The following is a 12,735-nucleotide window of genomic DNA, read 5'->3' on the forward strand; positions in this document are numbered from 1 at the left end:
CCTCTCGGAGCCATGCTCCTCTGAGTCGCCATGTCCCTGCGTCCTGCCCTTCTCTGCCCCGCACCCCTTGGAGTCCCCACTGGTTTTTGGAGCCCCACCCCTCTAAGGCCTCTTCCCTAAGCCCCACCCCTCTGAGTCCCCGCCCCCTCTGCGTCCCACCCCTCTGAATCTCCGCCCCCTCTCTGAGTCCCACCCCTCTGAGTCCCGCTGCCTCTCTGAGCCCCACTCCTCTGAATCCCCTCCTCGTCTCTGATCTCCACCCCTGCGAGTCCCCTCCACATTCCTGAGCCCCTTCCATCTCTCAGACCCCTCCCTTTCTCTTGGTCCCACCTCCTCTGAGTCCCCTCCCCCTTCCAATCCCCCCCTCCACAGTCCTCTCGCAGTCTGAACCCCTTCCCTCTCTGAGCCCCTCTTCCTCTCAGAGCTACCCCTAGCTAACCCATTTTATCCAGGGGAGCTGCCTCTTCTCACTAAGCCTGTCCTTTGCACAACCTAGCTAGTCCCTGAGCCCTGCCCCACCCCTCTCTGACACCCTCACAGCTTCTTTCCCCACCCCTCGACCCCCTAGCCCTTCCACCAGGGAGTCCTGCGCCTTTAACCCCACCCCTCCCTTTCAGCGAGTCCCTCCCCTGCCTCACGACGCCCCGCCCCTTGCCCCGCCCCATGGTGCCCCACCCATCGCCTTGCCCTTCAGCCTTTCCCCGCCATGCAAGCCCCGGGGCTCCCCACGCCAACCCGTGGCCCTGCGCTCAGGCCCTGCGCTCACGCTGCAGGCAGTCGGCGTTGAGCAGGTCCTGGCACTTCTCGTGGCACTTGACACCGCACTCGGTGCAGCGCATGCCCTGCCTCGCGATGCCCCACAGCAGCCCCTCGCACTCGTAGCAGTAGGTGGGCGTGGTGGCCGTCCACACTTCGAAGTTGTGTGGCGTCGTGCACGAGATGGGGTAGATTAAGGCTTGCAGGGTCTTCTTGTAAACGTGGTTTTTCTGCAGGGAGGGATGGGGTGCGGTTTGGGGGCGCCTAACCTGGCGCTGTCCCTGTCCTGCCCCATTCCGCCCCATCACTGAGCGCGGTAAAGTCCCAGGCCCTCCCCTGCCTCCACGCTGTCGGAATCCACGCTGCCTTCTGCCAGTCTGTGTCACACACACACCCTTCCTCTTCCCGGGGACCCACAGAGGCTTGGACAATTCCAGAAGCTCCTAGCCCAGTCCATCCCTGACCCGGGGAAAAAGAGGTGCCCCACGCACCAGCTCCTCGTTGTTCAACGTGCTGGAGGCCAAGGCCGAGGTGATGCCCGCTTTCCTGGACTGGACCAGGGACTGGGGAGGTCACAGAAGAGGGAGTCGGGGGGGTTGACATCCATGAGATCACCACCAGGAGAGTTCACAGCCACGGATGGGGCCAGCAGCCACATTTTGGAGCCACAACCGCAAGTTGGAAACAGGTCACCGACAGCATCCGGGCCAGACCCAACAAAGAATTAGGAGGTGACAGAGGCTTTGAGTTAGAAGGGACCCTGGAAAGTGAGCAGCCCCGCACCCCTGACTCACAGCATCCAACACAGTGGGACATGGCAAGGTTCCCCCATAATCCATGAATTGGGGGCCTGTTAGAAGATCCCAGTGGGGGAGTTTGGGGAGAAGATCCCAAGAGGCCCATGTCGCCATCACTCACCATGGCCTGAAGTGTCCACGCAGCACATGGGGGTAGAAATCAGACTACATTAGTCTCAGAGAATGCCTAGCTGGCCCCCAACCCCAGGTTGACCATGGGCAGTTCCACAGGTTGTGCACTGCTTATAGCAGGCCTGCTCTGCTCAGGGAGTAAAGGGCGAGGGTGCTTACCAAGTCGCTCACGAGTGGGATAGGTTTCCTCTTGCGGATGTCTGGCATGCTGTCGATGATGATGAGACCGCCCCCTGGGCTGAAAGACACAGAGGGACACTGAGGGCCCAGATGTCCCTATTCCTCACATAGAGCCCTGGGGAGAACATTCAACCTCCCCCAGGTGTTAAGGGGTTGAATTGGGTCCCTCAAAAAAAAGATACGCTGATGCCCTAACCCCCACTACCTCAGAAGGTGACCTTACTTGGAAACGGGGTTGTCACAGATGTAATTAGTTAAGATAAGGTCATACTGGAGTAGGGTAGACACTTAATCTAATATGACTGGTGTCCTTAGAAGAAGAGATACATGGGGAGAAGGTGGCTCTGTGACAGCAGAGGCAGAAAGCGACGTATCTACAAACCAATACTCGGGGGCCAAGGAATTCAAGCAAACTAGAAGCTAGAAGAGGCAGGGGAGGAATTCTCTTCTACAGATTTCAGAGGGAGCATGGCTCTACCAATGCCTTGATTTCAGACTTCTGGCCTCCAGAACTGTGAGAGAATACATTGCTGTGGTTTTAAGCTACCCGTCTGTGGTACTTTGTGACAGCAGTCCTAAGAAATGGAGACACCCGGCCTCACCCTCCTCATCTGAAAAATGGGGAGATGATGTAATTGCCCACCTTGAATGAAAACGTGAATTAAGGCAAATCTAAATAATATACTAAAATATAAATGAGGCCAGGAGTGGTGGCTTACGCCTGTAATAATCCCAACACTTTGGGAGGCCGAGGCGGGCGGATCACCTGAGGTTAGGAGTTCGAGACCAGCCTGACCAACATGGTGAAACCCCGTCTCTACTAAAAATACAAAAATTAGCCAGGCATGGTAGTGCATGCCTGTAGTCCCAGCTACTCAGGAGGTTGAAGCAGGATAATTGCTTGAACCAGGAGGCAGAGGTTGCAGTGAGTCGAGATCACGCCACTGCAATCCAGCCTGGGTGACAGAGCGAGACTCTGTATCAAAAATAAAATAAAATATAGATGAAACCTTTCTTGGCTCATTGCAACCTCTGCCTCCCAGGTTTAAGCAATTCTCCTGCCTCAGCTCCCCAAGTAGCTGGGATTACAGGTGCCCACCACAACGCCTGGCTAATTTTTGTATTTTTAGTAGAAACAAGCTTTCACCATGTTGGCCAGGCTGGTCTCGAACTCCTGACCTCAGGCGATCCGCCCACCTTGGCCTCCCAAAGTGCTGAGATTACAGGCGTGAGCCACCATGCCCAGCCATCTTTCGAAACAAGATCTCACTCTGTCACCCAGGCTGGAGTGCAGTGGCACAATCACGGCTCACTGTAGCCTCCACCTCCTGGGCTACAGCAATCCTCCCACCTTAGCCTCCTGAGTAGCTGGGACCATAGGTGTACACCGCCACACCCAGCAAATTTTTTTTTTTTTTTTTTTTTTGAGATGGAGTCTCGCTCTGTCGCCCAGGCTGGAATGCAATGGTATGATCTTGGCTCACTGCAACCTCTGCCTCCTGGGTTCAAGCAATTCTCCTATCTCAGCCTCCCAAGTAGCTGGGATTACAGGTGCGCACCACGACACCTGGCTAATTTTCTGTATTTTTCGTAGATATGGGGTTTCACCATGTTGACCAGGCTGGTCTCAGACTCCTGACCTCAGGTGATCAACCGCCTAGGCCTCCCAAAGTGCTGGGATTACAGGCATGAGCCACTGCACCCGGCCCACACATAGCTAATTAAAAAAAAATTCTTTTGTAGAGATGGGGGTCTCGCTATGTTGCCCAGGCTGGTCTTGAACTCCTAGCCTCAAGTGATTCTCCTGCCTCAGCCTCCCAAATAGCTGGGATTACAAGCATGCACCACCACACCTGGCTAATTTTTTGTATATTTTAGTAGAGACGGGATTTTGCCATGTTGGCCAGGCTGGTCTTGAACTCCTGACGTCAGGCGATCCACCTGCTTCAGCCTCCCAAAGTGTTGGGATTACAGGCGTGAGCCACCAAGCCTGGCCCCGAAAAGGTTTTCACTGGCCAGTGAGATAGGTGCCTGCAGCCAATGACTCCAGACAAGCCCTGCAGGGCTATTCAACCTACAAAGCTTTCTGCAGGAGCCAACTGAGGCTTAGAGACTCCTAAACCACATCTTTTCTCGGCAGCCTCCCCTTGTCTGACAGGTTTCTCCCGAGAGCACATCCTTCATAAATCACGTGCACAGGAATCCGCATTTCAGGACCCGCATCCAAGGCTCTCTAGCTAGGGTACCTGCTCATTTATTTAGGAGTCCCAGCTGCTGTCTCCCTGCCTGTTTGCCAAGGACGTACAAGGAAGGTCACTATCGTGCTGCTATTTTAAAACCTGAGCATATTTTTAAAATATCTTGTGCATCCTCTAACCTGAAAATCCATAACATAAGAGGTTAGACATGACCACATTCTCCACTGAAGACTAAACAACTATCTTTAATTAAAGAGCCCACAACTGTAGCAATAATCAAAGAGATTTAAAAATAGAATCAACGCAAAAATTTTGCTCCAGGATTACAAATATATAGTGTACATTTCCCAATAGTGTCTAGTTCCTCATAGTGTCTGCTTTATCTTACATTTATTTATTTATTTATTTGTTTGTTTATTTTTGAGACAGTGTCCCGCTCTGTCTCCCAGGCTGGAGTGCAGTGGTGCAATCTCAGCTCACTACAACCTCTGCCTCTCGGGTTCAAGTAATTATCTTGCCTCAGCATCCCAAGTAGCTGGGATTACAGGCGCCTGCCAGCATGCCCAGCTAATTTTTGTGTTTTTAGTAGAGACAGGGTTTCACCATGTTGGCCAGGCTGGTTTCGAACTCCTGACCTCAAATGATCCTCCCGCCTCGGCCTCCCAAAGTGCTAGGATTACAGGCATGAGCCACCGCACCCCGCCCTGTCTTCAAAGATTACTGTCTTTTGTGTCTGCGTATGGCTGTGTGCCTTATGAAAGTGACGTATTTTGCCCAAGCTCAATCTGTCCCCTGTCTAAATGGAACCCCTCCTCCTCCTCTCTGGGCTGAGGCTCAGGCGCAAACCAGCCTTGGACTTGGGGTTCAAATCTTCCTCCCACCGCTCACAGTTTCATTACTTACCCGCCTTTGAACCATAGGGATTTAGACATCTCTCCTTCTCCCCGGGCCTGCAGGACAGACAGACAGATATGGTCAGTGTGGCTGTCCCTCCCCTCCCCAGAGCAGGCTCCACACCCACTTCTGACTCCCCTCTGGGCTGGGAGTCAGATGGCCTGGGTCCTAGTCCTGGCTGAGTGATTTTAGGAAGCTCCGTGGCTATCTCTGGGCCTTAGTTTGTCCATCTGTAAGATGGGCTGGGGGAGAAAGAAGCTCTTCTCTTTCAACCACCTCAATGGACCTCAGTCTCTTCATTGATTATTCCCTAAACCCCCTATAGTCTCACTTGTTCATCTGCTCTCTTGCCTCGGGCTCTTTCCAGGAGTTGTGACTTCAGCTTGTACCTCTTCCCACCTTCTGCAGCCAACCAGCCTCTATTTATCATTCGGGTCTCAGCATAGACGTGGGGTCCACAGCCCCTACCTTCCCTCCATCTTGTAACTAAAGGGTTAACATGGGGGGAGGGGTGGCCCTATGAGGAACACAGGCAGCACTCTTCTGTTCTGAAATATTGAGGGGGTGTTTGGTTTTTTTTTAAAGACAGGGTCTTGCTATATTGCCCAGACTGGTCTTGAACTCCTGGCCTCATGTGATCTTCCTGCTTCAGCCTCCTGAGTAGCTGGGACCACACACACAAGCCACCACACTCAGCTCCTGAAATAAATATATATATATATATTTTGTTTGTTTGTTTGTTTGAGACGGAGTTTCCCTTTTGTTGCCCAGGCTGGAGTGCAGTGGCGCAATCTCAGCTCACTGCAACCTCCACCTCCTGGGTTCAAGCGATTCTCCTGCCTCAGCCTTCCTAGTAGCTGGGATTACAGGTGCCCACCACCACACCCAATTAATTTTTTGTATTTTTAGTAGAGGTGGGGTTTCACTATGTTGGCCAGGCTGGTCTCGAACTCCTGACCTCAGGTGATCCACCCACCTCTGCCTCCCAAAGTGCTGGGATTACAGGCGTGAGCCACTGCATCCGGCTCTGAAATATTTTTTATTTTTTTCTTTTAGAGATGAGGTCTCACTACGTTGCCCAGGCTGGTCTCAAACTCCTGAGTGCAAGTGAGCCTCCCGCCTCGACCTCCCAAATTGCTGGGATTACAGGCATGAGCTCCTGAAATATTGTTGAAATAAATATTTTGGATATCACTTCTCTTTTTTTTTTTTTTTTTTTTTTTGAAATGGAGTCTCGCTCTGTCACCCAGGCTGGTGTGCAGTGGCGCGATCTCGGCTCACTGCCAGCTCCGCTTCCCGGGTTCACGCCATTCTCCTGCCTCAGCCTCCCGAGTAGCTGGGACTACAGGCGCCTGCAACCACAGCCGGCTAATTTTTTTGTACTTTCACTAGAGACGGGGTTTCACCATGTTAGCCAGGATGGTCTCGATCTCCTGACCTCGTGATCCACCCACCTCGGCCTCCCAAAGTGCTGGGATTACAGGCTTGAGCAACCACGCCCGGCCATCACTTCTCCTTAAGTGTCATCTCCTCCAGGGAGTTTTCCTGATTGCCTTGGATTAGTTTTATGCTTTTCCTATGAAACCCAGAGAGCCTTCCATGTGTCTTTTTCTTGTCATATTACTAGTTCCATAGTTTGTTTTTCTTGTATATCACATAGTTCCAATAGTAGCTGCTATTTTTTCAATTTAATTTCTTGACCTAGTGGAAGTTATCCAACAGCCTTTTCACTGTGTCCTCTTCCACCTGTCTCATTTAGAACCATATGTATGTACTGCTGAGTCAAAAAATAGATTTCTATTTTAAAACTGTTAAGAAATTTCGTTTGGTAATTTTGTGGCTCTGATATTTGATGGTCTAAACCTTTGGGAGTCTGTTTAGAATCTCCTCCTGCCAATCCCACTGCAGTTTGGAGGGTAACTCTGAAGAGCAACACAGCTGTCCCCAGCCCAGGGTGAGCTGAATGAAGGAATAAACGAATGGCCTCAACCCTGCTGCCCATCTAAACAGTCAGCTTGCCCCTGATGCTGATTGCTTCCCTTGATTCCTACTCCCCTACTGAGCCGGCCCCAGACCTTTCCCTAACCCTGACAATGACCTCCAATTTGGCCCTAAGCACTGACCCCTTTGCCTAACACCAATTCTAACCCTGACCTCTGATCTTTGATGGCTGAACTAACCCTGACCTTGATCCCTAACCATGACTTCAGCCCAGTTTCAGCCCTAGTTTTCTCTCCTCCCTCTAGATCTAGAAACCCCAGGCTGACATTGGGAAGGAGGCTGGGCTGGGGATGTGTGGGGCCAGACTTGGTGCATGGTTTGGGAGTTAGCATAGCCAGGCTGGTGTGGACGGGCCATGGGGATACCCTGGGCTGTGTGTGTATGTGGCTAAGGAAGGGTCAGAGTGGGTGGGGCATCGGTGACATTGGGTGAGGCCAGGCTGAATGAGGGTGGGGCCAGGGAAGGGCTCGAGTGGCTGGGGCATGGGCACAGTGTGGGCACTGCACTGGGCATGCCCAGGCTAGGCTTGGGTACGGGTGGGGTGTTGGGCGTGGCCAATATAGGTGTGGGTGTGGCCAAAACATGTGTGGGCCTGCCATTGGGCGTGGCCTGGCTAAGTGTGGCAGGGGCATGGCTGGGCGTGTCACTCACCTCCTGCAGCTGCATCCGCACCTTGTTGAAGGCACGCAGCCAGTTGGCCTTGGCCCTGGACATGGAGTCCTGCCCCTCCTGGCCTTCCTCATCCTCTCTCGGCCTGAAACTGAGGCAGGGAACGCTATGAGGCTCTGGGCTGGCTCTCCGTGACCCCTGAACTTCCCTTGACCCTCCAGCTGTGCAAGTGATGCATAGCTCCCCATGGTATCTCTGACCCCTCAGAGACATTAGGACCCACGTGAGTCCCCTGGCCCACCTCAGTGCCCCTCACCCCTTCCCACACACCCAATGCTTCTGTGACACTTCACTGTTCCTCGGCTTCCTTTTCACCAGCCCAGCCCCTCTGGCCCCCCATTTGCCCAGGATCTTGACCTCTCCGACCCCAGCAACCACTAAGATCACAAACTCTAAGTCTCCTTCACGGCCCCTTGAACCCTCTTTGACCTCCCTACTCTGCCCTGTCACCTCTGATCCCTTTAAGAAACCCAAGAGCCTGTGACAACTTCAGCCCCAGCAACTTCCCAGGTCCACGCTGACCCCATCATAGCCCTGCTGACCCTGTGACCTTGTGGCAGCCCCTCTGGCCCCTTGGCCCCGTCCTGTTACCTCTCCTCGTCCTTGGGTGGCTCAGCCTCAGGGATCTGCTCAGCTGCAGGCACCTTGTCGGGCGTGGCTGGCTTGGGGGCCACCTTGGCCATGTCGGGGGCCTCGGTGGGTGCCACTGGGGCCTTGTCCTCCTTCCCTGGGGCAGCTGGCGGGAGGCTGATGCGTTTGAAGTCTTTGGGCTCAGCCACAGCTACGTCTTCACGCTGGGCATAGCTGCCCAAATCGTCAGGCACCTCCTCCTCCTCCTCCTCCAGCTCCTCCTCATCTTCAGGCAGCTCCTCCTCCTCCAGGAAGTCCTCCAGGTCCTCCTCCAGCTCTTCCTCATCCTGGTCCCAGCGAGGCGAGTCTTTGTGGTAGCTGACCGAGCTGTGGCAGGAGTGGTAGGAGTCCCGGTCCCGCTCATCCTCCATGTCGGAGCCCTGCAGGCTGTGCTCGTCAGGGTCGAAGTCCTCGCTCAGCTGAGAGCTTCCCTGGCTCAGCTCCCCGGAAGAGGCATAGCGGCTGCTACCCGTGGGGCTGTGGGGATGGAACAGGGTTCAGGGACTGGGGTACCGAGTCACTGCCCACCTGAGCCCCAGTCACACAGGCATTGACTCATCACCGACTGAGCACCTACGATGTGCCAGGTCCTGCTCTAGGGGCTGGAAAACACAGCCATGATCAGAAAAGACAAAAATCCCCGCTTTTGGCCAGGTGCGGTGGCTCACGCCTGTAATCCCAGCACTTTGGGAGGCTGAGGTGGGCAGATCACCTGAGGTCAGGAGTTCAAGACCAGCCTGGCCAACATGGTGAAACCCTGTCTCTACCAAAAATACAAAAATTAGCTGCGCATGGTGGCGTATGCCTGTAATCCCAGCTACTCGGGAGGCTGAGGTAGAAGAATCACTTGAACCCGGGAGGTGGAGGTTGCAGTGAGCTGGGATCATGCCATTGCACTCCAGCCTGGGCAACAAGAGCGAAATTCCGTCTCAAAAAAAAAAAAAAAAAAAAAAAAATTCCCACTTTTGTGGCATTTGCGGTCTGTGGGGAACAGGCAATTGACTGTGCTGGGAACTCAGGGTCAGCGCCATCACCACAGCCCCGCAGCAGGTCTCCTGTCCTCCACCTGGAAAAAGTATGGGAAATGCATCCACTTCCCCGTACCCCGGGCCCCAACCCAGGCCAGCCTCTGCTGTCTCTACCAGATGCTGTCTCCACAGTTCCTGCTTCCCTTGGAAGCCACAGGGAATTGTAAATCCAATCACCTCCCTCCCCTGCTCTAAATCCTACCATGGCTCCCTAGTGCCTTGGAATAAAATCTGTGCTAGCCCTGTGTGGCCCATACGCTCCAAACTCCCCCTGCATACCTCCCTCCACTTCTCCCCGCCTCCTCCATTCCGGCCACGCTGGCCACCTCGTTGTCTCTCCAACACCATAAACCTGTGCACTTGCCGTGGTCTCTTCCTTGTCTGCTTTATCTAGCAAACTCCTACCCACCCTCTGGTACCCACTGAAACATCACTTACTTGTGCAAATGCCCCCCACTGTCTGGCCAGGTCAGGCCCTCTGTTATGTGCTGCTTATGTGAACCCAGGATCGTGCTCAACGTCAACAGCAATATCTGTCTCTGTCTAAATACAGGCAGGGGGACATAGGGGCCACCACTCAGCCCTCTTCTAACCATTCACTTAGTCATTCAACGAACCTTATCATTTCCCGATTAGATACCTCCTCCAATCTTAGCGCCTGAGACCCTCTTCCCTGGCCAGCCTCGAGGATGCTATAGGAATAAAAAGGGGTTCAAGACTAGCCCAGGCAATGGAGCAAGACCCCCATCTCCACAAAAAATAAAAATAAATTAGCTTGGTGTGGCGGCCTGTGCCTGTAGTCCCAGCTACTGGGGAGGCTGAGGCAGGAGAATCGCTTGAGTCTGGGTGGTGGAGGTTGCAGTGAGCCGAAATGGTGCCACTGCACTCCAGCCTGGGTGACAGAGCAAGACTCTGTCTAAAAAAAAAAGAAAAGAAAAAAAAAAAGAAAAAAATGGTTAATTCCCACAAGAAAATGTGAATTCTGCCCTCCTGGATGGGTGAATTCTGCCCTTCTGGAACTCCACCTCCAGCTCTGTCCAGCCCCGTACCCCTCTCTCCACTCCAGGAGACACAGCAGGACCCACATGCATGCTGCACTCCGCAGCACCTACCTGAGGGCTTGTGGCTCAGAGAACTCCTCGTAACTGTGCATGGAGTCACTGTAGGACTCCCGGGAGCCCAGGGGTGGTGGGCGAACAGAATATTGGTGGACTGAGGCGTTGGGTTGTGACGTAGTATAATAGGGCGGCGGGATGCTGTTGCTCGTTTCACTGCGGTAGTCACTGTCACGATCATCCACTGCACTGTCGGGGTCATCGTCTGGAAGAGAGAGGCGGTATGGGAAGAGGGTGAGGAAGAGAGAGTGCACATGATGGGAGCCAATACAATTTCCCAGACTTACGGTGCCGCTACCGAAGAAGAGAATTTTTTACTAGTATGGATAAAGAATTGTGGGTCATGTTAATAGAGATATAGGCTTCAGAACAAGGGAGGTGAAAACCCTGCTTTGCTTTATGTGGGTCAAATTGGACCTAAAGTCTAGGGGCTAGGGTAGGACCTACAATGTGAAGAAAACAGGGACAGAGTAGAGGGCATCCTTCAGCTCAAATGTGAAGAACAACTTTGCTGAAGGTCAGGATCTCTGAAAATGACATGGGATTTTTTTCCACTGAGCAGTTAGTTTCCCATAACAGGAGTCACACAGACAGTCAGGGGGAAGTTGGAAGAAGATCAGGAGTTCAAAGTGGACGGAACGCTCTTTAACCCTTAGAGATTTCCTGATATCTGAGGGTGACGACCCCAGACCTGAACTTAACAAATATGCAAGAACCAAGAAGATGCTGAGACATGGTTCTGTCTTTTTCAAAAAGGATTAGATTCTTAGCTTGGCAAAGCCACCACACACTTGGAATCTATTGCTAAAATGGAATGTGGTAGAGTTGCCAAACTTCATGTTTAATAAGAACTAAAAGATATTTTGGTTTAGTTTGGTTTCCTTAGAAAAAAGAACAGTTTGTTTTCTAAATCCTAAAAAAAAAAATTCCAATTCTAAAAGCAACATGTCTGGGTGGTGGCATAATTGGGGATTGTACATTTTCTTCTTTATTCTTTTCTGTACCTTCTGAAAAAAAAGATTTCAATAATGCAATCTTTTTAATTTTTTAACTAAAAAGAATGATAAAGTTATCTTTATTTTAAAAGTAAAGCAAAGGCCGGGCACAGTGGCTCACACCTGTAATCCCAGCACTTTGGGAGGCGGAGGCGGGCAGATTACTTGAGGCCAGGAGTTCAAGACCAGCCTGGGCAACATACCAAGACCCTGTCTCTACTAAAAATACAAAAATTAGCCAGGTGTGGTGGCATGTGCCTGTAATCCCAGCTCCTTGGGAGGCTGAGGCAGGAGAATCTCTGGAACCCAGGAGGTGGAGATTGCTGTGAGCCAAGATCACACCTCTGCACTCCAGGGGCTGGGTGACACAAGACCCTGTCTCCAAAAAATAAAATAAAATAAAAGTAAAGTAAAACCTAGTCCATGGGCCAGGCAAAGTGGCTCATGCCTGTAATCCCAGCACTTTGGGAGGCCAAGGCAGGAGGATCACTTGAGCCCAGGAGTTCAAGATCAGCCTGGGCAACATAGTAAGGCCCCATCTCTTTAAAAAAATTTAAAAATTAGCTGGGCGTGGTGGTGGGCGCCTGTAGTCCCAGCTATTCGGGAGGGTATGGCAGGAGCATTGCTGGAGCCCAGGAGGTCGAGGTAGCAGTGAGCTATGATTACGCCTCTGCACTGCAGTCTGGGTGTCAGAATGAGACCCTGTATCCAGAAAAAAAGAAAAAGTAGTCCATGAAGAAAACATGAGAAGTACGGGTAAGGGGAAGAGGATGTAAAAAAATGAAAAAACCCCCAGACCCCAAAATCTCAGAGCAATGAGTGAAACCTTCAGACTTTTGCTGTATTCATCCATTCATTTAGACAGGGTCTCTCTCACTTGGGCTGGAGCGCAGTGGCGCGATCAAAACTCACTGAAACCTCGACCTCCTGGGCTCAAGAGATCCTCGCATCTCAGCCTCCACAGTAGCTGGGACCACAGGCACACACCACCACACCCAGCTAATTTTATTTATTTATTATTTTGTAGAGATGGGATCTCCCTATATTGCCCAGGCTGATCTTGAACTCCTGGGCTCAAGCGATCCTCCCGCCTCAGCTTCCCACAGTGCTGGGATTAGCCGTGAGCCACCTCGGCCGGCCAGCATTCTTTCTATCCAATTGTCCTTGACCGGGCTGAGATGTTTCCAGCCAAATTGCATGAGGCTGTGCACATGTTTACCCAGTTTTTTTTTTTCCTGACAAATTATCTGCTTATGAAGGGTAAATTACTTTGAGTTGGATTCTTTTTGCTTTTGCCCAGGCTCTGCTTTCTACTAAGTAGCTCTTGACTAAATTGCCTG

General features: G+C 52.2%; 1 protein-coding gene across 7 annotated transcripts in view; it reads right to left on the reverse strand.

Annotated features, from left to right (window-relative positions):
- The window catches only part of UNC13A (unc-13 homolog A), an 87,019-nt gene that overhangs the window by 46,329 nt on the left and 27,955 nt on the right, over positions 1–12,735 (reverse strand). For 4 of the 7 annotated variants that reach the window (XM_011527810.3, XM_017026502.2, XM_011527811.3 and 1 more), the window contains 8 exons: positions 10,398–10,605; positions 8,219–8,734; positions 7,610–7,718; positions 4,967–5,013; positions 1,845–1,923; positions 1,675–1,680; positions 1,248–1,319; positions 767–986 (listed from right to left, as the gene is read on the reverse strand). In XM_011527810.3, coding sequence (XP_011526112.1) covers positions 767–986; positions 1,248–1,319; positions 1,675–1,680; positions 1,845–1,923; positions 4,967–5,013; positions 7,610–7,718; positions 8,219–8,734; positions 10,398–10,605 — 1,257 coding nt within the window. The remainder of the gene's footprint in view (positions 1–766; positions 987–1,247; positions 1,320–1,674; positions 1,681–1,844; positions 1,924–4,966; positions 5,014–7,609; positions 7,719–8,218; positions 8,735–10,397; positions 10,606–12,735) is intronic. The other 3 variants (NM_001387022.1, NM_001387023.1, NM_001387021.1) reach the window with 1 other exon arrangement.

This window comes from Homo sapiens, chromosome 19 (genome assembly GCF_000001405.40).
Source record: "Homo sapiens chromosome 19, GRCh38.p14 Primary Assembly".
Classification (NCBI taxonomy): domain Eukaryota; kingdom Metazoa; phylum Chordata; class Mammalia; order Primates; family Hominidae; genus Homo; species Homo sapiens.